Raw genomic sequence first — 26,990 nt, 5'->3', positions numbered from 1 at the left:
ATGCATACACACGCACACGTGCACACACATGCACATGCGCACACACACGCACACACACAGAGTACCTTTTTAGGACATTGGCAACTAAACGTCCAAAAGCAGCTCCACACAGCAGAGAAGGCACAAAAAGGCCACTTGGAACAGAAATGCCGTAAGTCCAACATGCAAGCAAGAAATAGAGAACGAAGAACAAGGCCAGAGTGACGGGGCTGAAAGTACCTGCAAGGGAAGAGCCAACCTGAGTCCCACTACCGGATGCCTGCCAAGGCCCAGTAGACCTACCGGGCCCGACCACACCCCATACCAGTTCCCCTTCCAACACAGGAGGCAGAAACCAATCTTTTGTCTGGGTGGGCGTTACAAAGAAGTCCTGGTCTTGCTTGGAATGAAGGGCAAGCCTGGCTGTGTCCGAGATGACACCAATCACCCACGATTGGGCTGCAGTGCAGACACTCACCATCCTGGTGGAAGAGCTGGAGGATGGCAGACTCCTGCGGGTTGAAGAAGAGTGTGGCCATGTCATTGTAGGTATCATTGGGACAAAAAAATGTCTTGATACTTGAATTCACATCTTCTGTGACCTGAGAAGAAGGAATCAGAAAATCAGTACAAGGACACCTGACTTTGAGTCTTCAAGTGGGATGTCTCCAGCCGGGTCCAAAACAGGTGGCTGCACAGCTTTCCCCATCAATCAAACAGGCCAAAAACTGACCTCTACCAACGGCAGCCACACGGGCAAGTGTATTCTTCACATTCTGAATGCACAGATGAAAGAATCGGGATGAGGGCCTTTTGTTCATCCACACTCATGATGAAAATGTCACTATGGCCGTGATTCACCGTGAATTTGGTTCTGCTTCCTCTCCCGGTGCTAACTTTCTAAGTGATGCTGCTAGAAGCCTGGCCTGAGAGCCCTAGGACTGGGGGAATATGAGGCAGGTGAGAGCAAGTGACTGGGAGTTGACAGGTATCTGGGGAGGAAAATCCAGGGCACCACTTGACCGAAAGCCCCAACTCTGGTTCCAAATAGAAAAAGCCTTTGATTTTGCTGCAATTTGCTACAAAAAAAAAAAAAGCACCTGAATTTGCTGCAAAAGAAAACCCACCTCCATAATGCCTGGAGAGCAGACCCAGTCCTCCAGGCTGCCTCTCCTTCTAGACCCCATCTGGGGAACAAAACCCAAACAGAAAAAGAGATTATTTCTTCTACTACTTCTACACATTTTAGACCTCATTTTCTTGCCATCATTCTGTGTGGGAAGATGGGATCTTTGCTAGAAGGCAAGGGTGTTTCAAGTGTGCTGTTTTATTTTCTAGTTGACAGTGTACAACGGTACAAGGTTGTACTTCACACCTATCACTGTGCATGCAAATAGGGAGTCTTATTACAAAGGTTAATCAAGGCTATGGGTTTCTTCTGGATGACACAGCTGTGGAGATGCCATTATGTGGACGTGCTAACAATACCAGGGGGTGGTTTGTGTGACCCCGCCAGGTGAAACGGGCTGGGCAATATAGACGTATGCAGGCTGCTGTGCAAACAGCACGGCACTGCTGACTGGCAGCACCTGGCACTGGTGAGCCATGTGCAGAGCCTCAGCGTTGTGGAGTGCACGGGGGATGAGCTCAGCTGATGGCTTCATAATAGACACATGCAGTGTTTCCCAAACTGTCTGGAGGAAGTTCAGTCCTGAAGGCTTTCCAGAGAGTCCTGTGGTCAACTGCACTGAGAAACATCCTAGCAATTCTTGGAAATCAGTGTGTCTGCTAAAAGCTGAGCACAGGCTCCAAAATCAGATGGCTTTGTCTCTAAACTCTGCCACTCTCTAGTGACGTTGAGAAGGATATTTCATTTTGTGAGTTTCCTCACCTATAAAATGGTAACAACACCTACCCTCTCACTATATATGACTAGCTGAAGGTTTTTGGTCAAGACCATACTGTGCCTCAGCTTCCTTAGCTGTAAAATGGGGGCACAGCTACTGGCCAGCAAGCACAGTGCTGATAAGGATTAAATGAAATCATATAAAGTACTCAGTGGAATATCTGGTACACAATAAAGACACCAAACATTTATAACACTTATGGGAATAAGGCCCTAGAAGTTCTGTACTAAAGGAACGTATTTAGGTTGGGTGCTATGGCTTGTGTCTATAATCCTAGCACTCCTAAAACAGGAGATCATTTTAGGCCAGAAGTTCGAGACCAGCCTGGGCAACATAGTGAGATCCTGTCTCTATAAAAATAAGCTGGATGTGGTGGCATGCACCTGTAGTCCCAGCTACTTGGGAGGCTGAGATGGGAGGATCGCTTGAGCCCAGGAGTTTGAGGTTACAATAAGCTATGATCACACCACCGTACTCCAGCCTGGGTGACAGAGTGAGATCCTGTCTCTAAAAAGATAAAGAAGCATATTTAATTCCTAGCCCATTTGACCACAGAATCGTTTTTTGTATGCTTTAAATCACACGCATCAAGGTATCTGTCTGGTAATGAGCTAGGCTTGGGAATAACTAGTAACAGGGGTCGGCAAACTTTTTCATAAAGAGCCAGACAGTAAATATTTTAGAAGTTGCCAGTGATGTACAGTCTCTGCGGCATATTCTTTTTTTTCTCTCAACCCTTTAAAAATATATAAACCAGCTGGACACGGTGGCTCACGCCTGCAATCCTAGCACTTTGGGAGGCCGAGGTGGGCGGATCACAAGGTCAGGAGTTCAAAACAAGCCCAGCCAAAATAGTGAAACTCCGTCTCTACTAGAAATACAAAAATTATCTGGGAATGGTGGTGCGTGCCTGAAGTCCCAGCTACTTGGGAGGCTGAGGCAGGAGAATCGCTTGAACCCAGGAGGTGGAGTTTGCAGTGAGCCGAGATCTTGCCACTCCACTCCAGCTTGGGCAACAGAGTGAGACTTTGCCAAAAACAAAAACAAAAACAAAAACAAAAACATATATATATAAACCAGGCTGGGCGTGGTGACACACCTGTAATCCTAGCAATTTGGGAGGCCGAGATGGGTGGATCACTTGAGGTCAGGAGTTCGAGACCAGCCTGGCCAACATGGTGAAACACCATCTCTACTAAAAATACAAAATTAGCTGGGCATGGTGGTGGGTGCCTGTAATCCCAGTTACTCGGGAGGCTGAGGCAGGAGAATCACTTGAACTTGGGAGGCGGAAGTTGCAGTGGGCCAAGATCGCGCCACTGCACTCCGGCCTGGGTAACAGAGTAAGACTCCGTCTTAAAAAAACAAAACAAACAGAAATATATAATGTGTGTTTGTGTGTGTGTGTGTGTGTGTGTGTGTGTGTATATATAGTGTGTGTGTGTATATATATATATATATATATATATATAATATATACATATAACTGGGGACACTGAAGAGGCTGTCCTCCAAGACAAGGGCCCCAATGGGGATCTGAGAGATTCAAGTGGTTACAGAGAAGCAACAAGGAAAGAGTACAGTTGTTCCTCAGTATTCACCAGGGATAGGGTCCAGGATCCCGATGGATACCAAAATCCAGGGATGCTCAAGTCCCAGATATAAAATGGTGTATATTTGCATATAACCTATGTAGGTCCTCCTATATACTTTTAAATCATCTCTAGATTATTTATAATACCCTAATACAATGTAAATGCTATGTAAATAATTGTTACACTGTACTGTTTTTTATTTGCATTATTTTTTACTGTTGTCTTGTTCTTTTTTATGTTTTGCATCCTGAATATATTTGCTCCACAGTTGGTTGACCCTACGTAATTCCATGGATGCAGGACCCACAAATGTGGATGGCCGACCGCACTTAGAGAATGCTCACCTGTCTGCAGCCAAGGGCTGGAATCACACATCTGGCTGACTCACTGAACCACAGGTGTAGCTCTCAGAGCCTCCGGGTTGGACCGAAAGAACACAGCGTGGAGTAGGCTCCACGGACTACCTCATGGGACCACTCCTCAGGGAAAGCCTCTGGAAAATATCGCGCCCCCCAAGAAGGGAAAAGGAGGAGTGCAGGAGGGTGGCGCACCCACAAAGGACCCAACGCCGGGAAGAGGCAGAGGATGCTGGGAAGAGAGAAGCCTCCTTGCCCTGACACAGATATTTCTTCCTCTCAAGAGTGACTGTCATAGTCACAGAGGCCATGAGGTGGGTGCTGAGCCTCTGGGCTGTGGCCCCTTCAGGCAAGGGGAGGTGGAAGAGTAACTGGGGCTCAGAAAGCACCTTGCTGTCAGCTTTCCAAGTGTCTGTTTCCCATGAGTGTTGTTCAACAGAGAGGAGTTGCCCTCTGTGATGCCAGGGTTGTTCCCAGGTTCCCCTCTGTGACGCCAGTGTCGTTCCCAGGTTCCCCTCTGTGACGCCAGGGTCGTTCCCAGGTTCCCCTCTGTGATGCCAGGGTTGTTCCCAGGTTCCCCTCTGTGACGCCAGGGTTGTTCCCAGGTTCCCCTCTGTGACGCCAGGGTTGTTCCCAGGTTCCCCTCTGTGACGCCAGGGTTGTTCCCAGGTTCCCCTCTGTGACGCCAGGGTTGTTCCCAGGTTCCCCTCTGTGACGCCAGGGTTGTTCACAGAAGTGGCAAAGACACAGGGCATGTGGTGTGCACTTTCTCTGAGGTAAAAAGACGACTACAGATTCCCATATCTCTCAACGCTCAGGTAATGGGTGTGGAAGGATGAACCCAACATATCTATTAGTTCTCAACAGAGGAAGGTCATACATTTCTGGATTCTTCCTCGTGGTATGGGATAAAGGTAGCAGGTGCACTGGGGTTACCTGGAGCTGGAATGAGTCATTACCGATTTGACTCGAAGAGGACATCTGTCGGCATTCTCCTAACACCATCGAGGCCACAAACACCACCACGGTGGTTACCAGAGACACAAGGAGGCTCTCTAAGACTCTAGGAGGCAAAGCACAGCTGTTACAACGCCACAGAAAGAAGCTCTGGTCTCAGAAATTCAAAACATAACCCTGCCTACCCCCAGCCCCGATTTCTCCAAACAGCATTCACAGCAGCCCCTGGTCAGTCAACATGTGTGCAGAATTGATCCGTGATTTGCTGTATTCCAGCAATTTGTTTGTAAAAAGTGGACAGTTAAAGTGGGCTGCTACGTCCACATCATCTCTCTCCAAGGAATGAATGGCTTTCCATTATAATAAGTCCTGGGGCGAGAAGCCTCCTGAGAGCAAGCTGCTCGGCAGGGCCACGGTGACCCTTCTAACCTTGTCATGTGTCCGAGTGGCCAAGTCAGGACAGGCAGGGAGTCAACCAGCAACTCTGACATCAATTAAGCTGGCTCAGCCCTTTGGCCTGTCAAGTAGGGAAGATGCATGGCCGTGTTTAGATTCTCAGTCTTAGATGAGAAATCAAAGCCGTGGAGGCAGGGTCCGCTCCTCGGGAGAGATGGCGCGGCCCACACCAAGCTCAGGGAGCCGCAGCAGGCTCGGGGGGGAGGCGACTGTGCAGATACCTGACGAGCTTAGGTTTCGGGTGCACGTTTCGCATACGGTACTTTGCAAGCCTCTTGTTCAGACAGTTGAATGTGGCTCCCAGGAGGCCCCCAATGACCCCCATCACGACGAAGAAACCCAAATCCATAGCTGTCCAGAGATGACATTTTTTATCAGAGTCAGAGCACTGAGAGAAGGGGAAAGGGAGAGGGAGAGAAAAACCATAGCAGCCATGAGAACCGGAAGAGACAGAAGAGAAGACAGAAGCAAGAGTGGGGCTGCTTTCCCGCACGGCAGAGGCTAATGGGTGAGATGTGTCCCTGGAAGTTGTACCTAGCCCTCTGCTCATTTCTCTCTGGTCCTTCACTTGAGAGGAAATTTTCATGGGTCAAATTAAAAATCCTTGGGGAAAGGACAAAACATACCTTAAACTCGCCAAAGTTCAGCAATCCAGGGAGCTGGAAGGAACCCCAGCTTCCAAACTGAATCCCAGAACGGAAGAAGTTGAGGGTGAAGGTGGCAGACATGGAACAAAAGAGCTAGGGGAGAGGTGACAAAAGACAAGAAGGTTCAGGAGTGGCATGTCCTACTCTCTCCCAACCCTTCCTCCTGGTACCCACTGCTCTACGCAGAGACCTCCGGAATCTACATCCGGGTACAGAGATCTAGTCACCCTTACAGTAGATACACCCCAGGTATGACCAACTCTAGATTGGGCTTTAAGAAGTTTCCGTTCCAGCAGCCTACTCTACTATGAGAGCCTATTTACAGCCTTTACAGACCAGACCTTGCACCAAAAGGAAGGATCAATGCAAAGGGAAGGACAGCCTGCTCTGAGGGAGAAGACCGGCTCCAGTCCAAGCCCCATCACTTCCTGCTTTATGACAACAGCCAGTTTCACATTTTCATGTCAGGTGGTTCATCAAGAAAGGATAACAAGGCCAGGCGTGGTGGCTCACGCCTGTAATCCCAACACTTTGGGAAGCCAAGGCGGGTGGATCACCTGATGTCAGAAGCCCCATCTCTACTAAAAATACAAAAATTAGCTGGATGCGGTGGCACGTGCCTATAATCCCAGCTACTCATAAGGCTGAGGCAGGAGAATCGCTTGAATCCAGGAGGCAGAGGCTGCAGTAAGCCGAGATCGCGTCACTGCCCTCCAGCCTGGGCAACAGAGCAAGACTCCATCTCAAAAAAAAAAAAAAAAAAAAAAAGTAACAGCGGTTTGATTTGGGGTTAGGGAGGGTATTGATATGAGAAGTACAGAAAGTCCAGTGTGGAGGTTATGGGCACAAGAGGAAAGCTGTTTCTGATCCAGTTGACCCCCCAGTCTCATCAAAACTACCATTCCATGTACCGAGTAAGGGACACCCAGTGTAATTCGGGGGGTGTGGTTAATGCTTTCACTGAAGGTCCTCCTCACCACTTTCCACGTGAGCCCTTGGTTCCAGAAGGACGAACCCTCCTCTAGACTGAACAAGGTACCCCCGATTGGCGCCCCGAAAGCTGCAGCAACTCCAGCAGCCGCTCCTGCTGATACAAAGTCTCTCTTGTCTCTGAGGAGAGGAGAGAGACGGGTTATCCAATAAAGAGCCCCCAGCCCCCAAAAGGTGGTTTCTGACTTCCTTATCATGAACATTTTCTCACACCTGTGAATGAATAGGCAGGGATCCTGGAAGGGCAGGTCACTGGTGAGGCAGCCTTTGCCGCGAGTGTGTCCACCCGAGAGCCACACACCTTAGCACCAGAGTCCCTTTCAGCATGGCGGCTACTCTGCCTGGGAACAGGAGCCCCTGACCTCTGTGTTTTCTGTGATCTCAGAATCTCAGCCCCCAGCTCAGGGGGCAGATCAAAGATCGGCACGATCACTGCTGCACCATGTTCCCACCGGATCTTCCTTCCAGAAAACCCCGGCATCAGTAAAAACATCAAGGTGCCTTCTGGGTATGTGCCGAACTTGCAGGAATACAAAAAGAAGGTGGTCCGTGACTCTAAACTGAGTCTCTGATTGAAAGAGCCTTACGAGGCCGGCAGGTCAGTAACACACACATCTGATACAGGGCTAAGAAGTCTACTAAGAGTACCTTCTGACCCAGGAGGGTGGCTGACCAAGTGAATCACTGGGGAATACAAAACGCCTTCCTAAGAATATGCCTGTCTGTGGCCTTTCTTGGTTGGGTTTTTAATCTGGGACCATCTTCATTTGCCTGAGATGCTTCTAGGCCTTACGGCATGACAAAATAAAAGTCACGATGCCAGCCTGGTGCTTTGGCTTCTTATTTCCAGAAGAAAAGTTCAAAGCCCGCCCCCTTCTCCCAGTCGGGTTTCCCCGCAGGGGATACTGCCAGGCTAGAGCAAGTGTCGAGTCTGACCCGCAGCGCATGAACATGTTGTTTCCAAAAAAGAAACCAATTTCTAACCTTTCCATACCTGTCGCTTCGGAAATAGGGGAAGTTAAACTGGATCTTCCGTAAGGAGATGCTCTGAAACTAAAGCAAGAGAAAAGAGAGCCACTAAAGAGCCTACTCATATAACCAAATACTACCTGTACCCCAGTAATTATGGAAAAAAAAAAAAGAACACAGGTCAGGGGCAGCCTAGGACTGAAACTATGGGAATCCACGGCATCAGGGGAGGCCCCTCTGCTTGAGCACACCTGGGTAAGTGTGCTGCAGGAAGGAAAGTCCAGAACAGCAACTTGGGAAAAAAGGAGGCTGGGCGTGGTAGCTCATGGCTCACGCCTGTAATCCCACCACTTTGGGAGGCCGAGGCGGACGGCTGATTACCTAAGGTCAGGAGTTGGAGACCAACCTGGCCAACGTGGCAAAACCCTGTCTCTACTAAAAATACAAAATTTAGCCAGGCGTGGTGACATATGCCTGTAATCCCAGCTACTCAGGAGGCTGAGCCAGGAGAATCGCTTGAACCCAGGAGGCGGAGGCTGTAGTGAGCAGAGATGGCACCATCGCACTCCAGCCTGGGCAACAGAGTGAGACTCCGTCTCAAAAAATGAAAATAAAAAAACTTGGGAAAAAAGGAGATTACCCCCCACCCTTGGGAGGAGCTTATTTTTCCTGCCCTCGTGTTTCTAGGACCTTCTGAAATCCCATTTTGTGCAGAGTCAACAAGTCTGAAAGAATAAAGGCAAATGGCTGAGCTGAGGGAAGGGGACGCGGAAGCTGTTGCAGAAGACCGAGTCTGCTCTGCTCAGCAGCGCCAGGAAGAGAAGGGCCCAGAGCCTGTCCTCTGTCTGCCCCACAAAGGTGCACACTGATGCCCACTCCACGCCTGGCCTTCCACCCCTTGGCTCACTTCTGCCAGATCTGGTGCTCAAGGCAGTAGCAGGAGAGAGACCAAAAGACGAGCTCTGGACGAAAGAATCTTCCCTCCTTCACCTCAGAGACTCCCAACCACAATAACTCCCTCTTCTCAGGACTGGAGAGGGAAATGACTAAGAGTGACAGTTCACAGGGAACTGAGACTTCTCCAACAGCAGCCAGGGATCTGGAGTAGCCCCCAAGAATGGGAGCTTTGAGGTCTCGAGCTAGTACCTCAACCTCTCTAAGCCTCAGTTTCCCCATCTGAGGATGGGGGTAATAATAACAACGAATCATTGAAGGTGGCTATAAGGAGAAAGCAGTTAGTATACATGGCGTCTGGCACACAGACCATAATTAGCAGCAGTTATTATGACTGTACCACGCCAACTAGAATCAGCACGGAACTGTGCCTAAAACCATGTCAGTCGATGCTTCGAGCCTCTTGGATCTGGCAGCACTGAGATGATCCACCCAGCCACCCTATATAGAGGCGCCTGGTGATGGCTATGGAAGCACCCAGTGACTTTCATCCGCCACGTCACAGTTTTTCTCTATGTCTCATTTTTGCTCCTAGGGCTCGGTAGGGCATCATTAAAACTTCCAAGTATAAGTTATGCCCTTTCCTGAGAGATAGACACATGGTTTACACGTGAAGCCAGAATGGCACCAGGTTCCAATGTGATGTCAGGGTGTCCCAATGGATTTGGCCCAGTGTAACCAGACCTCCCACTAGGCCTGCCCAGAGGCCCACACCCTCTCAGCCCATCTTACCTGAGGGAGGCCAGCTCCCACCACCGAACCACTGTGGATCATGGGGCCTTCCTTCTCCACGAAGAGCCCTGGGCAGGGTGAAAAAGGAAAGACCAACAGTCAGTGCAGAAACGCCCCTGGGTCAGGAGACCTTGGCTACAAAAACCTTCCTCGTGACAACTGAACAGAGATGATCCTAAGACTTTATAAGAGAAAGAGCCAAATTCCCACCAAATAAGCTCCATTTCAAGTCTTGCTAGAAGAGAAAACACTCTACATTCTAAATTGTGTGTCAGCAAATGAGAGCCTGTGAGCCCAGACCACCAGCTCCCTCCTGGTTTTACACGGCCTGAGAACTAAGACTGGCTTTTACGTTCTTAAATGCACACATGTAAATAGTTACATAAACATCTACATAAGAGCTTCCATTCTGATTCTTGGCCCACAAAGCCTTAAATATTTACTATCTGGCTGTTGACACAAAAAGCTTGCTAATTTTGACAAAAGCTAATTCCACAAGCTAAATTCCAAATCCCAAAACTGAAGAGTGTGTTTGTCAGGTATCTGAATGGTAACATACGAACAGTGTCTGCATTTAAAAACAGCCCATCAACAAAAAGTGCAGACATCAGCTGTTTGAGGCTGGGCCCTGCAGTCCAAATCTAATAACTGAAATACATCATGCTTCTTGTCGTCTCTGCCCTTTGAGTATTTGAAGGATACAAGTTGGACCCTTCTTACCTCCAGCCACACTGAACAGCACTCCAAGGACCTTGCAGAGCAGGGTCCGGAGACGGACGATTCCTGGCACCTTTACGCCATTCAGATAGCATTTGACCTCGGGTATCCCGGAACCTGCTGCCACCGGCTGATGGAGGAGAGCAGGCACACCCATAACTCGAAATCCATTGGTTCTCTGGCTTACCCTCAACAATCTGGGCGGCGGAAGAGGGAGAGCTGGCCACCTTCATTAGCAGCGTGAGCGTCACCTGGAGGGCTTGCAGAACCACAGCTGCTGGGCCCCACTCCAGAGGATCTGACTCAGGAGGTCTGAGGGGCAATGGGAGGACTTGCACTTTTTTTTCTTTTTTTTTTTTGAGGTAGAGTTTCACTCTTGTTGCCCAGGCTGGAGTGCAATGGCACAATCTCCACTCATTGCAACCTCCGCCTTCTGGGTTCCAGCAATTCCCCTGCCTCAGTCGCCCGAGTAGCTGGGATTACAGGCATGCGCCACCACGCCCGGCTAATTTTGTATTTTTACCGGCTAATTTTGTATTTTTACTAGAGACAGGGTTTCTCTACACTGGTCAGAATGGTCTCAAACTCCCGATCTTAGGTGATCTGCCCGCCTTGGCCTCCCAAAGTGGCCAGACTTGCACTTTTTAAAGAAAAATAATTTCCACTTTTATTTTAGGTTCAGGGATTGCATGTACAGGTATGTTACGAGGGTATATTGCATGATGCTGAGGTTTGGGACATGAATGATCCTGTCACCCAGGTAGTGCGCATGGCACCCAACAGTTTTGTTTTCAGCCCTTTCCCCCTTTTTTCCTCCCCCCAGAATCTGTACAAGTTCCCTGTGAATGAGCATCACCTGGGAGGCCTTTCTTCTTTAATCTCACCAGAGGTGAAACCTTTACCTTTAGTGAACAAGAGGCCACTTTCTGCAGGAATCTGCATTCTCAGTTTCCTGACATTCTGGAAGGAGGTGGGGAAAAGGAGTGCGGGACTCTAAAACCTCCTAAGCGAGCAGGTGAATCCAAACCACCTCACCTCAATGAGAACAAGGAGGCTTGCCAGGAAGACAAAGGTGAGGTTAAAACCCAGGAGTTCAAGGAGAGACAGAGCGAGGCAGCCTTTCTGGCTGCACTCCTCCACCGCTGCGGAAACTGGGTTAAGGAAACTTGTTCATCAGCCGAGGGGTGTCCCCGTCATCACTTGAGAGGGTGCAGCTGCTTCTCCTTTGGATCATGCTGGCTGCTGAGTGCACTTTTTCTCTATATATAAAAATTTTTTAAAAACTGCCTGAGATGACTGGGTGCAATGGCTCATGCCTGTAATCCCAACACTTTGGGAGGCTGAGGCAGGAGGATCACTTGAGCCTAAGAGTTGGAGGCCAGCCTGGGCAATGTAGTGAGACCATGTCGCTACAAAAAGTACAAAAGGTATATGCCTATGGTCCCAGCTACTCAAGAAGCTGAGGTGGGAGGATCGCTTGAGCCTGGGAGGCTGAGGCTGCAGTGAGCTGTCATTGCACCACTGCATTCCAGCCTAGGCAACAGTGTGAGGCCTCATCTCTTAAAAAAAAGAAAAAATTGTTTGAGATGCCTTTGACATTAGGAAATACTTCAAACATTACAAAAAGTAACGAATACCCATACCCTCACAACTGTAGCTTTAACAAATCTCAACAACATGCCATATATGCTCCAGGTATTTTTAAAAAAGAAAACATTCAGTACCATTTTAAGAAACAAAACAAAACAAAAAAAAAAACAGTTTTCCTTCCTCTCTCCCCTGGGAGAAACCACTAACCTGAAATTATTGTGTGTATTTCAAAAGTGTCCACACTGTTGTACACGGCACTTGTATATTCTGTAACTTGCTCTTTTTTTCTCAACATTAAGTCTTTGAGAATTAGCCATGTTGATACACACAACTCTGTGGTTCGTTCACTTTCACTTGTCTAAAATTTTTATTTTACAATCTACAGAAATGACATGATGTCTAAAATGATACCATATGAATGTACCATAATTTTTCCATTCTCCCATTTGGTGACTCCAGCTTTTTGCTATCATAAAGCTATAATTACCACCTTTGTACATGTCTACGGTTCAAATTTCTAAGAGGAATGTATGAGTCACAGGAATGTGCACCTTCCTTTTTCTAGAGGTTTACTGGCCAGTTTTTCTCTTTTGAGAATTCCAGTTCACATCCTTTGCTCGTTTTCCTTCCATTGGACCATCTGTTGTTTTTCTGATTGAGTTGCAGGAGTTCTTCCTGTATTATTTGTTCTGAATCAGAGTCTCATTCTGTCACCCAGGCTGGAGTACAGTGTTGCAATCTCGGCTCACTGCAACCTCCGCCTCCTGGGTTCAAGTGATTCTCCTGCCTCTGCCTCCCAAGTATCTGGACTAAAGGTGCACACCACCACACTCAGCTCAATTTGTATTTTTAGTAGAGACAGGGTTTCACCATGTTGGCCAGGCTGGTCTTGAACTCCTGACCTCAAGTGATCCGCCTGCCTCGGCCTCCCAAAGTGCTGGGATTACAGGCGTCAGCCACCGCGCCCAGCCTCTTCCTGTATTCTGGATACTAATTATCTGCCTCTTAAATGCATAGTAAATAACCTCTCTCAGGCTGTGGACTTGTTTTCACTTTATTTATGGTGTTTTATTGTTGTTATTTGGAGTTTTTGTCTTTATAAATACAATATGTACTTTGATGTGGTCAAATTTATTGATTTTGTTTGTTTTTTTTTTTTGTTGTTGTTTTTTGAGACAGTTTTGCTCTCATTGCCCAGGCTGGAGTGCAATGGCGCGATCTCGGCTCACTGCAGCCTCTGTCTCCCGGGTTCAAGCGATTCTCCCACCTCAGCCTTCCAAGTAGCTGGGATTACAGGCACCCGCCACCATGCCCAGCTAATTTTTTGTACTTTTAGTAGAGATGGGGTTTTGTCATGTTAGCCAGGCTGGCCTTGAACTCCTGACCTCAGGTGATCTGCCTGCCTCGGCCTCCCAAAGTCCTGAGATTACAGGCATGAGCCACTGCACCCAGCCATTGATGTTTTTGTTTGTTTGTTTTTGAGACGGAGTCTTGCTCTGTCACCCAGGCTGGAGTGCAGTGGCGTGATCTTGGCTTACTGCAAGCTCCGCCTCCCAGGTTCATGCCATTCTCCTGCCTCAGCCTCCCCAGCATCTGGGACTACAGGCGCACACCGCCACGCCCAGCTAATTTTTTTGTATTTTTAGTAGAGACGGGGTTTCACCGTGTTAGCCAGGATGGTCTCAATCTCCTGACCTTGTGATCCGCCTGCCTCTGCCTCCCAAAATGCTGGGATTACAGGCGTGAGCCACTGTGTCCGGCCCCATTGATGTTTTTTCTTATAGTCTGTGCCTTCTGGAGTTTTAAGAAATTATTCCCCACTCTTGACAACATATAGTCTCCCGAAGTTTTGTTCTGCATATTTACATCTTCATCTGGAATTTATCTTATTTATAGTATGAAATAGGAATATAACTATTTTTCCATATGGATCACCCATGTCCCAGCATCATTTTTTTTAAGACAGGGTCTTGCTATGCTGCCCAGGCACAGTCATGGTGCATTACAGCCTCAAACTCCTGGGCTCACCTCCTAAGTAGCTGGGACTACAGAGATGTGTATCTTTTATTTATTAAATAACACAGCGTCTTTTATTAAATCATTCATCACTCCCTCACTGATTTGTAATATTAACTGTCATTCACCAAAGTTCCATGTATGTGAGGACCAGCTTCTGCTTCTCTATCATTTTCCACTGTCTAGGTATTCCTGCACCAATATGACCAATTTCAATGACTGTATCTTAAATTTTATGACTTTTTTTTCCCTAACTCCCCAAACTTGTTAATTTTATAAGACTTGATATCTGACAGGGTCAAGTCCACCTTCTTGTCATTTAGAACTATACTGACTGCTTTTGGCCCTTTACTCTTCTACACAAATTTACAAAGAATTTCTGAGTTCCACAACAAATTCTATTGGAATTTTGATTGGAACTACATTAAATTTACAGATTAGGGAGTACAGGCATCTTTGCGGCATCTGTAATCTTATCAACCACAAACATAGGTATATGTCTTTGCTTATTAAAGTCCTTCTTTTGTGTCCTTCAGTGATCATTAGAAATATTAAAGCTGAATAGCTAATAAGCGGCCCTTCTAATACTATGCTTACTGTTAGACCCATTTCTATGTAAGAAAGAATCTTGGTGACCACTGAAGTCCACGAACACCAGGAACCGTGAAAAGGATACATGTCTGTACCACTCCGAACTTGAGTTGGGTGAAGAGTCGCACAAAAAAGTCCACAAAGAGACCCACCTGTGAAGAGCAAGAGATCTGTCACACAGCCTTATTTCCAAGTGTAGCACAAGTATAGTACAGGTGTGCTCCTCTTGAAGGCATCTCCTCCCCCACTGCACATACGGAGGCTGCTCACCAGCCAGCAGTACGTGAATGCACAGCAGAAAAGCGCAGAAGGAGGAGATCCCTTCTCCAGCCCAGTCCCACTGCCCCTCCAAAGAACAAAGGCAGAGAGTACAGCTAAGTTGAGTGAAGCAACGGAAAACAAAGAGGGAAGCAGGTGCAGAAAAAGATGTGAGACCAAGAAAGACTACTGACACAGGGGTGTCTACTCTTTTGGCTTCCCTGGACCACACTGGAAGAAGAATTGTCTTTGGCCACACATAAAATACACTAATGACAGCTGATGAGCTAAGAAAAGAAAAACTCAGAAAAATCTCATAAATGTTTTTAAAAGGTATATGAATCTGTGTTGGGCCATGGGTTGGACAAGCTTGCTTTAAAACACAACATTCATTTAGGTGTATGTGCTTTTTGCATGTTCCTTATTAGCAGGTTCTATTTTGTAAGTCATTATTTTGACTTGAAATCATCTTTTTTTGAGATGGGGTCTTGCTATATTGCCTAGGCTGGCCTTGAACTCCAGGGTTTAAGAGATCCTCCTGCCTCAGCCTCCCAGGTAGCTGGGATTACAGGCACACCCCACTGTGCCAGGCTTGACTTATAACCATCTTATAGTCCATAGTTACTCTGGGTAGAGAAAACAACCAAATTCCAGTATTCCACTCTCCAAAGTGCTCAGGGCTTAAAGGAGAACTAGAAAGACTTCTAATTTTATGGATTCAGGATCAAAGCTTCTTGCCTTTAACTCTGGCCTTCCCTCAAGCCAATGCCTGGAGGCTTTTTGATACTGAAGCCATAAAGTGGCCACACATCAATGGACAAGAGTTGGGAGTGCTATGTCATAAAGGCAGGTGTGCCTTCCTAAAATACAAAGGTAGGAGGTAAAGTTGCTTCAGCTTGAGTAACACTTATCTGAAATGCTTGGGACCAGAAGTGTTTTGGATTTCAGATTTTTTTTTCGAATATCTACATTATACTGATTAAACATCCCAAATCCAAAAATTTGAAATCCAAAATCTGAATGCGCCAATGAGTATTTCCTGAGAATCGTGTCAGCATTCAAAAAGTTTTGGATTTTGGAGCATTTTGGATTTTCTGATAAGGAACACTCAACCTGTAGTACTGACAAGTGGCAGCTCCAAAGAGTTTGATATAAAAGTAGCACAAACACTAACAACTAGAGGCCTAAGGACTATGCTTATTATAGAGAAATCTGCAACCAGAAACATATATAGCAAAATAAATACCCTGAGATTTCTTTTTTTTAATTTTTTTTTTATTTTTAAGGAGACAGGGTCTCCCTACGTTGCCCAGGCTGGTCTCAAACTCCTGGGCTCAAGCAGTCCTCCTGTCTCGGCCTCTCAAAATGCTGGGATTACAGGTGTGAGCCACCGTCCCTGGCCCAACACCCTGAGATTTAAATAAAACAATAAATCAACCCAAGTTTCCCCAAAATGGTATCCATCAGAATATCACTGAAGAGGGCTTCTGAATGCCATCAGTCTTACCTAGTAAGATGTTCCTTTACTTGTGGATTTACTATAGTAAAAATTTGATGCATGCCATGAAAATAAAAATTGTGGTTGGCCCCTGTGGCTATATTATACCGAACACATGTGTACATTTTCTAGGCATATCATGTCAAATTAAGTAGGAGGCTTGTGGCCAGTTCAAGATAAAGGTGGTCAACAGGCTGTTACTGAGGACAGATACCCTATCCCAACACTGTACTGACCGGAATCAGATTTGACATGGATCTTTTTGACTGATGCTGATTTTTCCAGCTTCTCTTCCTCATATTTAACAATGTGAAGTCGGCAGTTTTGGTTCCAGACTTTTTGCTATCCTCATCTTTGGCCATGTTTCCAATCTTGCCTTGTCTTTGATTCACCTGTGAAGTTGCTGCCTCCACCAACTCTGTTCATACGGGCATATCCCTTCACTCACAGCTGCTGGCTCTATCTTCTAGATAACATTAACGACGTACGGGGAGGAGCCCAGGATAGCACCATAAACTCCCTGCATGAGATCAATAGCTATGGTGTGCCACCCTGTTCACTGGCACGCTGTGCTAAATGAAGGGCACGATGTTCACAGTTCCGTACCCACGACTTCGCTTTTTCCCTAAAGAGCGATCTCATGCCTGCCTAGAGTCCTAACCACTCGGGAGGCTGAGGTAGGAGGATCACCCAAGCCCAGAAGGTCGAGGCTGCAGTGAACTGTGATTACGCCACTGTGCTCCAGCCAGGGTGACAAAGCGAGACCCTGTCTCTATTTAAATTAAAAGAAAAAAAAAAGTAACTTTAACTTCCATTATTTACTCTACCCAATGCATTATCTACCCATTAGGGAGACATCTAGTTTACTAGGTAGATTAGAGATTATGATCCATAATCATATCATAAAAGATAAAGTCCTGCCCAAACCTTTGAGCGCTTCAAGAGCACCATTGTCATGTGTCTCGCTTTCATTTCACAAAGCAAAAGCAGGGGAAGTGTGAAAAACTGTGCCAGGATTATTCATTTAAAAAAAAAAAAGGGAAAAAAGAAAAGGCACTCTTGATTATAATGACAAGTGTTATTGCATTATAATGTTATAAATGTTATAATGACAAATGACAATGTTATTCACCAGGCCAGGGCTTTCCCTGTAAGCCCCTCCAGCCCTATGGCCCACCATCCCTCCAGGCCCTGCCTCCTCACCAGGCCAGTGCAGACTCCAATGGCAAACACCACCATCCACTTCACCGCCTCATATCTTCGACCTTTCTGTTCACACAGGAAAAGAATGATTCAGTTTACAGGGTTATGGTGGCAGAGGGGAAGAAATACATCTTGGCCAACCAGTTTTAAGCTAAATTCCACGTGGAGAGCAGGCACAGTAAAGATGATGTTGGGATTTCAGGTGCTTTACAGTGCAAAAATGATGGACTCTTAAGAGGCTGGGCAAGGTGCACTGACAGGGGGAACTCTGGTTGGCAGGATAAAGGCCTAGGGAATAAATGCCAACATAGGCCTACCTTGCAGATAGCATGGGTTTGGTTCTAGACCACCACAATAAAGCAAATATCACAATAAAGTGAGTCACACGAGTGTTTTGGTTACCCAGTGCATATAAAAGTGATGTTTACACTATACTGAGGTCTATAAAGTGTGTAATAGCATTATGCCTACAAAAATGTACCTACCTTAATTAAAAAATACTTTATGGCTAAAAAATGCAAACAAAATGCATGCTATTGGAAAAATGGCACCTTGCTCAACACAGGGTTGCCACCAACCTCCAGTTTGTAAAACCTGCAGTACCTGCGAGGTGAAATAAAGCAAAGCGCATAAAGTGAGGTCTGCCTGTATCGCATGAAAAGGTTCAAAAAACAAGGTGTAAAGATGTTTACTGGGGCCTTTAGAAGAGAAAAAAAATGCCATGTTAAGACTGATTTGATCCCCAGAGATGAAGAATTGTAAGACCCACCTTATTATCCATGGTCTCCAAAACTTCCAGGTAAGGGTCATTGATACAGCGATCATAATCCAAACTCTGAAAAGAGGCAAAGTTGAGTCAAAAGGTCATGTCAGGTGAGAAGACCTGCAAAGGGACAAACCTCTGGGTTCCTGCTACTCAACGTGTGGATGGGCAGAGCAGTGGTACCTGCAGCACCCAGGAGGAGCTGGTTCAAAATGCAGAATCTGGCTGGGTGCGGTGGCTCATGCCTATAATCCCAGCACTTTGGGAGGTCAAGGCAGGTGGATCACCTGAGGTCAGGAGTTCAAGACCAGTCTAGCCAACATGGTGAAACCCTGTCTCTACTAAAAATACAAAATTAGCCAGGCATGGTGGCGCGCACCTGTAGTCCCAGCTACTTTGGAGGCTGAGGCAGGAGAATCACTGGAACCTGGGAGGTGGAGGTTGTGGTGAGCCGAGATCGCACCACTGCACTCCAGCCTGGGTGACACAGCGAGACTCCGTTTCAAAAACAAACACAAAAACAAAATGCAGAATCTTAGACTCCTGCAGCCCTGCAGCCCCAGATGACTCAGATGCACATTAAAATTTGAGTGGTGTTGCTTTAGGTTCATACTTCATGCTTTAGGAGAAGTTTTAAATTACCTATTTTTAAACTTCCTGTTTTGGCAAAATATTTAAAGACCTTCAGCTATCATCAGCCTTATGAAACTTACTCCATTAGATATGAACAAAAGTTTCAGTTAGCCAGAACCAAATTAATTTAGAATGTCAATTAGTTATAATTATCTTTTGTAGTTAGTGTCTATGGAAATGAGGTTAGTCACAAGACAAACTAACATGGAAAGTATTTTTAAAAGCAACTTCCACTTTTTTTTTTTTTTTTTTGAGACGGAGTCTCGCTCTGTCGCCCAGGCTGGAGTGCAGTGGCGCAATCTCAGCTCACTGCAAGCTCCGCCTCCCGGGTTCACACCATTCTCCTGCCTCAGCCTCCTGAGTAGCTGGGACTACAGGCGCCTGCCAACACGCCCGGCTAATTTTTTTGTATTTTTAGTAGAGACGGGATTTCACCGTGTTAGCCAGGATGGTCTCGATCTCCTGACCTCGTGATCCGCCCTCCTCAGCCTCCCAAAGTGCTGGGATTACAGGCATGAGCCACTGCGCCTGGCCAACTTCCACTTTATGTTAGGAAGAGGCACAGATTCAGCTTGGCTCTCGGCTCCTAAAACTTCTACATCTGAAGCAGCATCCTTTACAACATGCATCACAAAACACAGAAATCCTGCAAGCAACTTGCAGGTATGCCACAGACATTTAGAGAAACAATTCAAAGGAAATCATTTTAGTTGTCTTGTTAGAGAAGCAGCAGTCTGGGCTGGGTGCAGTGGCTCACACCTGTAATCCCAGCACTTTGGGAGGCTGAGGCAGGAGGATCACTTGAGGCCAGAAGTTCGAGACCAGCCTAGGCAAGATGGTGAAACCCCATCTCTACTAAAAATACAAGTTAGCTGGGAGTGGTGGAGCACGCCTGTAATCCCAGCTACTCGGGAGGCTAGGGCAGGAGAGCTGCTTGAACCTAGGAGGCGGAGGTTGCAGTGAGCCAGCCAAGATCATGCCACTGCACTCCAGCCTGGGCAACAAAGTGAGACACTCTCAAAAAAAAAAAAAAAAAAGACGCAGCAGTTTGGCAACAAAGAAAAATAATGGTCGGCCATCAGCTCTCCTTCCCACAACCTGTTCCTACCCACATCAGCTGGACATTGGCTGGGTGGCAGCCACACTCCCAGACAATAGTTTCAAGTCAGCCAAACACATGTGATGAGTGACAATTTATTCTATCTATATGACTACCTAGAGTTAGTCCAAATTCTTTTTTTATGAGTCCTGGAGTACCAACAAGTGACTGAGTAAATCAATTATACATCCAAATATAGTAAACTATACACCAATAAAATGATTATAGTTAAGTCTATATAGAAAGATATGGAAAATCTCCAAAAATTATTCAGCAAAAGAGCAAGATGCAATTAAAAAATAAAAATAAAGCAGGATGGAGAATTAAAAGTATAATATCCCTTTTTGATTAAACAAAATTAGGATTATTTGTACGTCAGCATTCATAATGGGAAAACATCCGTGAGGTAGTGCTTAAGGAGATATTTGTTTCTGGGTGTTGTCTGAAATTCTCATAGCACAAATGGTGTGCTTTTTTATATTTTAAAAAATGATCGGCTGGGCGTGATGGCTCACGTCTGTAATTCCAGCAGTTTGGGAGGCCGAGATAGGTGGATCACTTGAGGCCAAGAGTTTGAGACCAGCCCGGCCAACATGGCGAAACCCCGTCTCTACCAAAAATACACAAATTAGGTGGGTGTGGTGGCACACACTTGTAATCCCAGCTACTAGGGTGGCTGAGGCAGGAGAATCGCTTGAACCCAGGAGGCAGAGGCTGCAGTGAGCCGAGATTGTGCTACTGCACTCCAGCCTAGGCGACAGAGTGAGACTCGGTCTCAAAAAAAAAAAAAAAATCTTTTTTACTGATCAGAAAAGAAACACAGTGATGAAAAAAGTACTTTTAGAAACTAGACTCATCCATAAGTGATTAAACATATATGCACCTACATATGTATTGTAGCGGCCAAGAGGAAAAGCTTCCCCTTTCACTCTCTAAAGGTCTGCTGAAAGTGAACCGACAAAAGGCAGATTAATGGGAGCAAAGGCATCCACTTATTTAACATGCATTGCACAGGGGAACTGCAGAATGATTACCCAATAATGCCAGCGAGGTACAGACGCTTCTATACTCTTCTTCACAGGGGAAGGGGAGATAGGGATGTGGGAGGAAATAATTCTTAGTGGGGAATGAATGGATCTGGGAAGCAGATATCATCTTGTGAATGATTCTCTTTGGAAATTGTATGGGACAGTGAACAAACAACGGTTGGGACAGTTTGTCCAGGCTCTAGGTATGTTGTTTGGTCTTCAGTCTCCTCTGTAAGATGAGTTTTAATGTTCCCTGGTTAATGACATTTCAGGAAAGGGATCAAAGACAACTGTGTTCCTCTCTGGTAGGTCCAGTTTCTAGGTAGATAAGGGAACGGCAGAGAAGAGCCTCATCCTGTGCTTTGGGAGAGACAAAGTGTGAGGGTGGAGAGTTCAGCATATCAAAGCACCATATTTCCAGGTATCATTTTCTGAGCCCCAACAATACACACACACACACACACACACACACACACACACACACACACACACAAACATACTTTGTCTTTTTTTTTTTTTGAGCCGTGGTATCTTTTGTTTGCTAATGAGATGAGTGGCGGCTGGGGGCCCTTAGATGGCTTCAGAAAAGGGGCTGGTCACCAGAAAGACCAAGGCAGGATTAGCGGGGTGGGACACCCATCCCTCCAGGGAGGAGACCGAAGCTGAAGGTTAAGCTGATCACCAAGGGCTGGTGATGTAATCAATCATGACTGCATAAAAAAGCTTCCATAAAACTCCAAAATGACAAGGTTCAGAGAGCTTCCAGACAGCTGAACCGTTTGGAGGTTCCTGGAGGGTAGCGTGCCTGGAGAGGGCATGAAAGCTCCGTGCCCCCTCCCACGTTCCTTGAATCTCTCCATCTGGCTGTTCTTCTGTATCCTTTATGATATCCTTTATTAATAAACTAGCAAATGTAAGTAGCATTTCTGTGTTTTCTGACCCGCTCTAGCAAGTTAACCAAACTCAAGGAGGGAGTCCTGTGAACCTTCAATTCACTGCCAGCTGCTGAGAAATGCAGGTGACAACCTACTACTTTTTTTTTTTGAGATGGGGTCTTTCTCTGTCACCCAGCATGGAGTGCAGTGGCATAATCTCGGTTCACTGCAACCTCCAACTCCTGGGCTTAAGCCATCCTCCCACCTCAGCCTCCTGAGTAGTGGGGAAACAACCTCCACATATCGGTGTTAGCAGTGTTCCGCGAGTGGTGCCTGAGAGCAGAGGAGAAACAATACCCTTGCCTTCATCCAAAATATGTATGGAAATTACTGGTCAAGTACTTCATTGATGGTTCCATCTAATAATGATATGGTTCCGTAAACATTTAGAAGGTTTTTAGATATCTAGAATAGGCAAATAGACAGAAAGGAGATCACTGGTTGCCTGGAGTCAGGGGCAAGGAGAACAGGCAGTGGCTGCTAATGAGTGCAGGGTTTCCTCTCAGGTGATGAAAATATTCTAAAATTGACTGTAGGAATTAGCTGGGCGCAGTGGCTCACGTCTGTAATCCCAGCACTTTGGGAGGCCAAGGCGGGCGGATCACCCGAGGCCAGGAGTTCAAGACCAGCCTGACCAACATGGAGAAGCCTCGTCTCTACTAAAAATACAAAATTAGCCGGGTGTGGTGGCAGACGCCTGTAATCCCAGCTACTTGGGAGGCTGAGGCAGGAGAATCACTTGAACCCGGGAGGCAGAGGTTGCAGTGAGCTGAGATCACAACATTGCACTCTTGCCTGGGCAACAAGAGCGAAACTCCGTCTCAAAAAAAAAAAAAAATTGACTGTAGGAATGGTTGTACAACTCTGTGAATATACTAATTTTTAAAACCCCATTGAATTGTACACTCTACATGGGTGAACTGAATAGTATGCCAATTATAGTGCAATAAAACTGCTAAGAAGGGCATTTAGAAACAACCGCAACGCTAGAACACCAGAATCCCTTTTTTTTTTGTCAGGGTCTCGCTCTGTCACCCAGGCTGGAGTGCAGTGGCGTGATCACAGCTCTCTGCAACCTCCGTCTCCTGGGCTCAAGCAATTCACCTGCTTCGATCTCCTGAGTAGGGGGGACCACAGGTTAGCCACCACACCTCGTTAATTTTTTCGTATTTGTTGTTGAGATGGAGTCTCGCCATGTTGCCCAGGCTGGTATGAAGTCCTGGGCTCAAGTGATCCACCTGCCTCAGCCTCCTAAAGTGTGGGGGTAACAGGTGTGGGCCACTGCACCCGGCCCCCTGCTAATTTTGAACAAATTTTTTTGTAGGAACAAAGTCTCACTTTATTGCCCAGGATGGTCTTGAACTCCTGGCTTTAAGCGATCCTCCTGCCTTGGCCTCCCAAAGTGCTGAGCATATAGGCGTGAGCCACTGTGCCACGCTTCTTTTTTTTTTAAATAAATTAGTTGAGTTTGGCCCTTTGTAAATATGTACCAATGGAATATATGAGCTATTATTAAAACCAGATACTGTTACTTCTCCTTTGCTATGACTAACTTTTTATTTCTGCAGTATATGTTGCTCTTTGGTTTAGGGGACTAACAACTTTTTAAAAAAATAAAATGTTATCTGTGTCTTGCAGGGCTGTTACAGGGGGTTACGAGCAAAATGGCACCTGGCCGGGAGGGAGGTGGGGGCTGAACCAGCCCCAATTCAACCAGGAAGGGGCATCTTAGTGTTCACACCAAAACCACCTTCAACTGGTTGTGAGCTAGGGGTGCTGCTATGGCCAGTGGGGGAGGCCTTTAATTCTAAGTCTTACGTTCTGAGTGTGCCTCTTTCTAATTCAAAGGTACAATATAAATAGACTGTGTGACCTGCATGAAAACATTCCTGTTTGCAATGGCACATCTCACAGAAAGTTACCATTTTTCAAACCACCTATAATGAGAATGGATGTCAAAATGGGATTCTAACATTTTGTAAGACCCTAAATTTATCAAATAAAGAGTCAAATATGTGCAATGAACTCTTCCTGAGACAGGAAGAAGGGGCACTTTTTAGAAAGATATTCAACAGAAGGGTTTTCTAGTTGACTGACTATCAAGGTAGAGAAAACCCTATAACTCCATTCATTAAAATATGACTATTAATACCTTACTAAATATCCTTCTACATCCTTACCCACGTTTTTATACACATGCTTTTAACACGTGTTTTAAATAACAAAAATGAGATTCCACTAAATCAACTATTTTAACCTGTCCCACTCACTCCCCTCTTTATTATACTTTTTGTGTCAAGTTGATTTATTTATTGAATAAATAAAATCCAGACTTTTCTGTTTAAGTGCCTGAATTTGTTCTTACACAAAGCAAGTGCTCTCAAGAAGCTCATTCTTGAAGATGGTTGAGAAATATCAATGACCAATATCAAAAGAACATTAACCCATGAAATGTACATGAATATGGCCACGCGTGGTGGCTCACGCTTGTAATCCCAGTACTTTGGGAGGCTGAGGTGGGTGGATCACCTGAGGTCAGGAGTTCAAGACCAGCCTGACCAACATGGTGAAACCCCATCTCTACTAAAAATACAAAACTTAGCCAGGCATGGTGGTGTATGCATGTAGTCCCAGCTACTTGGGAGGCTGAGGTAGGAGAACAGCTTGAACTCAGAGGCGGGGGTGGAGGTCGCAGTGATCCAAGACCGTACCACTGCATTCCAGCCTGGGCGACAGAGTGAGACTCTGTCTCAAACAATGACAAGAACAACAAAAATTTACATGAATATGCATATCAGCTGAAGGCAAGCACATTACAAATGTAAGTACAATTTAGTAGAAGGGGTGAGGGAGCCTGGGTGTCAATGGGGAAGCCTTGGTGAGCTCCTAGAAGTAGGATGAAGGCTGTGAGACAGTCTCAGTCCTGGTGATACAGTCAGGATGATGTAACAGGGTTCAGTGAGGGAGTGCAAGGTGACAGAACAATATGGAGTATCTTATACTAATTCCTGCAAACTTCTCAACTATGTACAAGAAAACAAATACTTACGAAACAGAAGAAAATGGCCAGGTATAGTGGCTCATACCTGTAATCCCAGCACTCTGGGAGACCGAAGCAGTATCACCTGAGGTCAGGAGTTCGAGACCAGCCTGGCCAACATGGTGAAACCCTATCTCTACTAAAAATACAAAAATTAGCCGGGCATGGTGGTGGGCGCCTGTAATCCCATCTACTCGGGAGGCTGGGGCAGAAGAACCGCTTGAACCTAGGGTGGGGTGGAGGTTGCAGTGAGCTGAGATCGAGCCATTGCACTCCAACCTGGGCACTAAGAGTGAGACTCCATCTCAAATTTAAAAAAAAGAAAAAAAAAGAAATAGAACAAAACACAGCAGTGGATACAGTGCTTTTTGGTTCATTCAAAGCAGTCCCATCAGAGTAGCATATTAAACTATACAAACGGCTCCAAATGGCAAAATCTAGACAGTAGAAAATCCCAGGTCCTAATTATGTTGTCAAATAACTTACAAAAAAAAAAAAAAGATGAAGGAAGAAGCTACAGATTAAAAGAGATTTAACAGATTTATCAAACAAATAAAAAAGGACTTTTGGAACCTAATTCAAATAAAGTTAAAATACATATGACATTTACAAGAAAACTGGAAAATCTGGACAGTAGATATTTGATATCAAGAAATTCCTAATTTTTTAGATGTGGTAATAGTATTGGGTTATGCTTTTTAAAAGTCCTTATCCATTAGAGATGCATATAGAATTATGGGTGAAATAATATGATGTACAGAATTTCTTTCAAAATAACATGGGAAGGGCGGCCAGGTATGGTAGATCATGACTGTAATCCCAGAACTTTGGGAGGCTGACATGGGAGGATCGCTGGTGTCAAGGAGTTCGAGAACAGCCTGGGCAACATAGGGAGACTGTCTTTACTTTAAAACACACACACACACACACACACACACACACACACACACACACAAACACACACACACATACAATAAAAAATAATAATATGAGAAAGGAGAAGTGGATAACGAAAGCACAGACAAAAGAAGACTGGGCTTGAGCTAAATCACTGTGGAAGCTGTGTGATGAGGACAAGGGGTTTCAACAGATTATTCTGTTTTTGCATATAGTTGAAATCCTTCATAATAAAAGTTAAACAAAAAAGTGCTACAAATCCTAACGCTGACACTAAATTCTACAGCATGAAGAATTTATGGAAGAGTGAGACTCTGTCAAAAAAAAGAAAAGGTTGTGGAAAATTACCTAATGATACAAAAAGTATAATAAAGGGGGTGAGTGGGACAGGTTAAAATAGATGATTTAGTGGAATCTCATTTTTGTTACTTAAAAAAAGCATGTATCATGTATATAAAAGCATGGGTAAGGATGTAGAAAGATACTTAGTAAGGTGTTAACAGTCATCTTTTAATGAATGGAGTTATAGGCTTTTCTCTACCTTCTTTATTACGTTTAAGAATTTAATGATAAAAAGTCACGCATGTTGTTTCACCCCAGCAGTGTTGGCTTTACTAAAAACACATACTCTAAGAATCCCATACATGAAAGGTGGAACTTAATCAAGAACATGTCAGAGAGAAGCTGCTTGAGCAAGAAAATATCTGAAAAGCAAGCTCTCCTAGAAGAGAAGCAAGGCCTCCTTAACAGTTTATAAGCACACACCTGTTAGGGGCACATACTGCCTGCCAGTGCCTTTCACTCTAAGTCTCTCTGTAAGCTGTAAAAGCAAACAGTTTAATGGCAAATACATACTCTATCCAGGTTAAGGTGCCACAGATTTATAAACGTGTAAAAACACCAGACCTTGTTTTGGGGTTAAGGTGAGAAAAGGGCTTGCTAAACAGTCTCTTTCCTAGAAGGAAGTTCTCTTACCCACTCACTCCCTGGGACAGAAGGTCAAAGAGCATCTCTGGTTGGAATCATAATGCTTCGGCCTGAAGTGACCAGGCCACTCACTACTTTAGTTGCCCAAGCAGTATCAAAGGAGCTCACCTCATAGTCTTTCCTTGGAAGAATCTCATCCTCCTCCTCCTGTGTTTCTCCAAGGATGGTCTAGAAAAACAGATCCGCAGAGGGA

General features: G+C 45.6%; 1 protein-coding gene across 3 annotated transcripts in view; it reads right to left on the bottom strand.

The window, feature by feature from the left end:
* Window positions 1-26,990, bottom strand: part of CLCN6 (chloride voltage-gated channel 6) — a 36,940-nt gene that overhangs the window by 9,035 nt on the left and 915 nt on the right. Inside the window, exons 2-15 of one of the 3 annotated variants that reach the window (NR_046428.2) lie at window positions 26,906-26,965; window positions 18,185-18,250; window positions 17,416-17,481; window positions 14,542-14,608; window positions 11,295-11,401; window positions 10,263-10,389; window positions 9,543-9,610; window positions 7,872-7,940; window positions 6,875-6,981; window positions 5,877-5,990; window positions 5,472-5,638; window positions 4,774-4,900; window positions 458-581; window positions 66-219 (exon numbers count right to left, since the gene is read on the bottom strand). Coding sequence is in view for 2 of the 3 variants with exons in the window: in NM_001286.5 (NP_001277.2) it covers window positions 66-219; window positions 458-581; window positions 4,774-4,900; window positions 5,472-5,638; window positions 5,877-5,990; window positions 6,875-7,007; window positions 7,882-7,940; window positions 9,543-9,610; window positions 10,263-10,389; window positions 11,295-11,401; window positions 14,542-14,608; window positions 17,416-17,481; window positions 18,185-18,250; window positions 26,906-26,965 (1,439 nt within the window). In the remaining variant the exon portion in view is untranslated. Of the gene's footprint in view, window positions 1-65; window positions 220-457; window positions 582-4,773; window positions 4,901-5,471; window positions 5,639-5,876; window positions 5,991-6,874; window positions 7,008-7,871; window positions 7,941-9,542; window positions 9,611-10,262; window positions 10,390-11,294; window positions 11,402-14,541; window positions 14,609-17,415; window positions 17,482-18,184; window positions 18,251-26,905; window positions 26,966-26,990 lie in introns of all 3 variants that reach the window. The other 2 variants (NM_001286.5, NM_001256959.2) reach the window with 2 other exon arrangements.

The sequence above is a fragment of the Homo sapiens genome, chromosome 1 (assembly GCF_000001405.40).
Source record: "Homo sapiens chromosome 1, GRCh38.p14 Primary Assembly".
Classification (NCBI taxonomy): Eukaryota; Metazoa; Chordata; class Mammalia; order Primates; family Hominidae; genus Homo; species Homo sapiens.
This window is presented reverse-complemented; position numbering and strand designations above follow the sequence as displayed.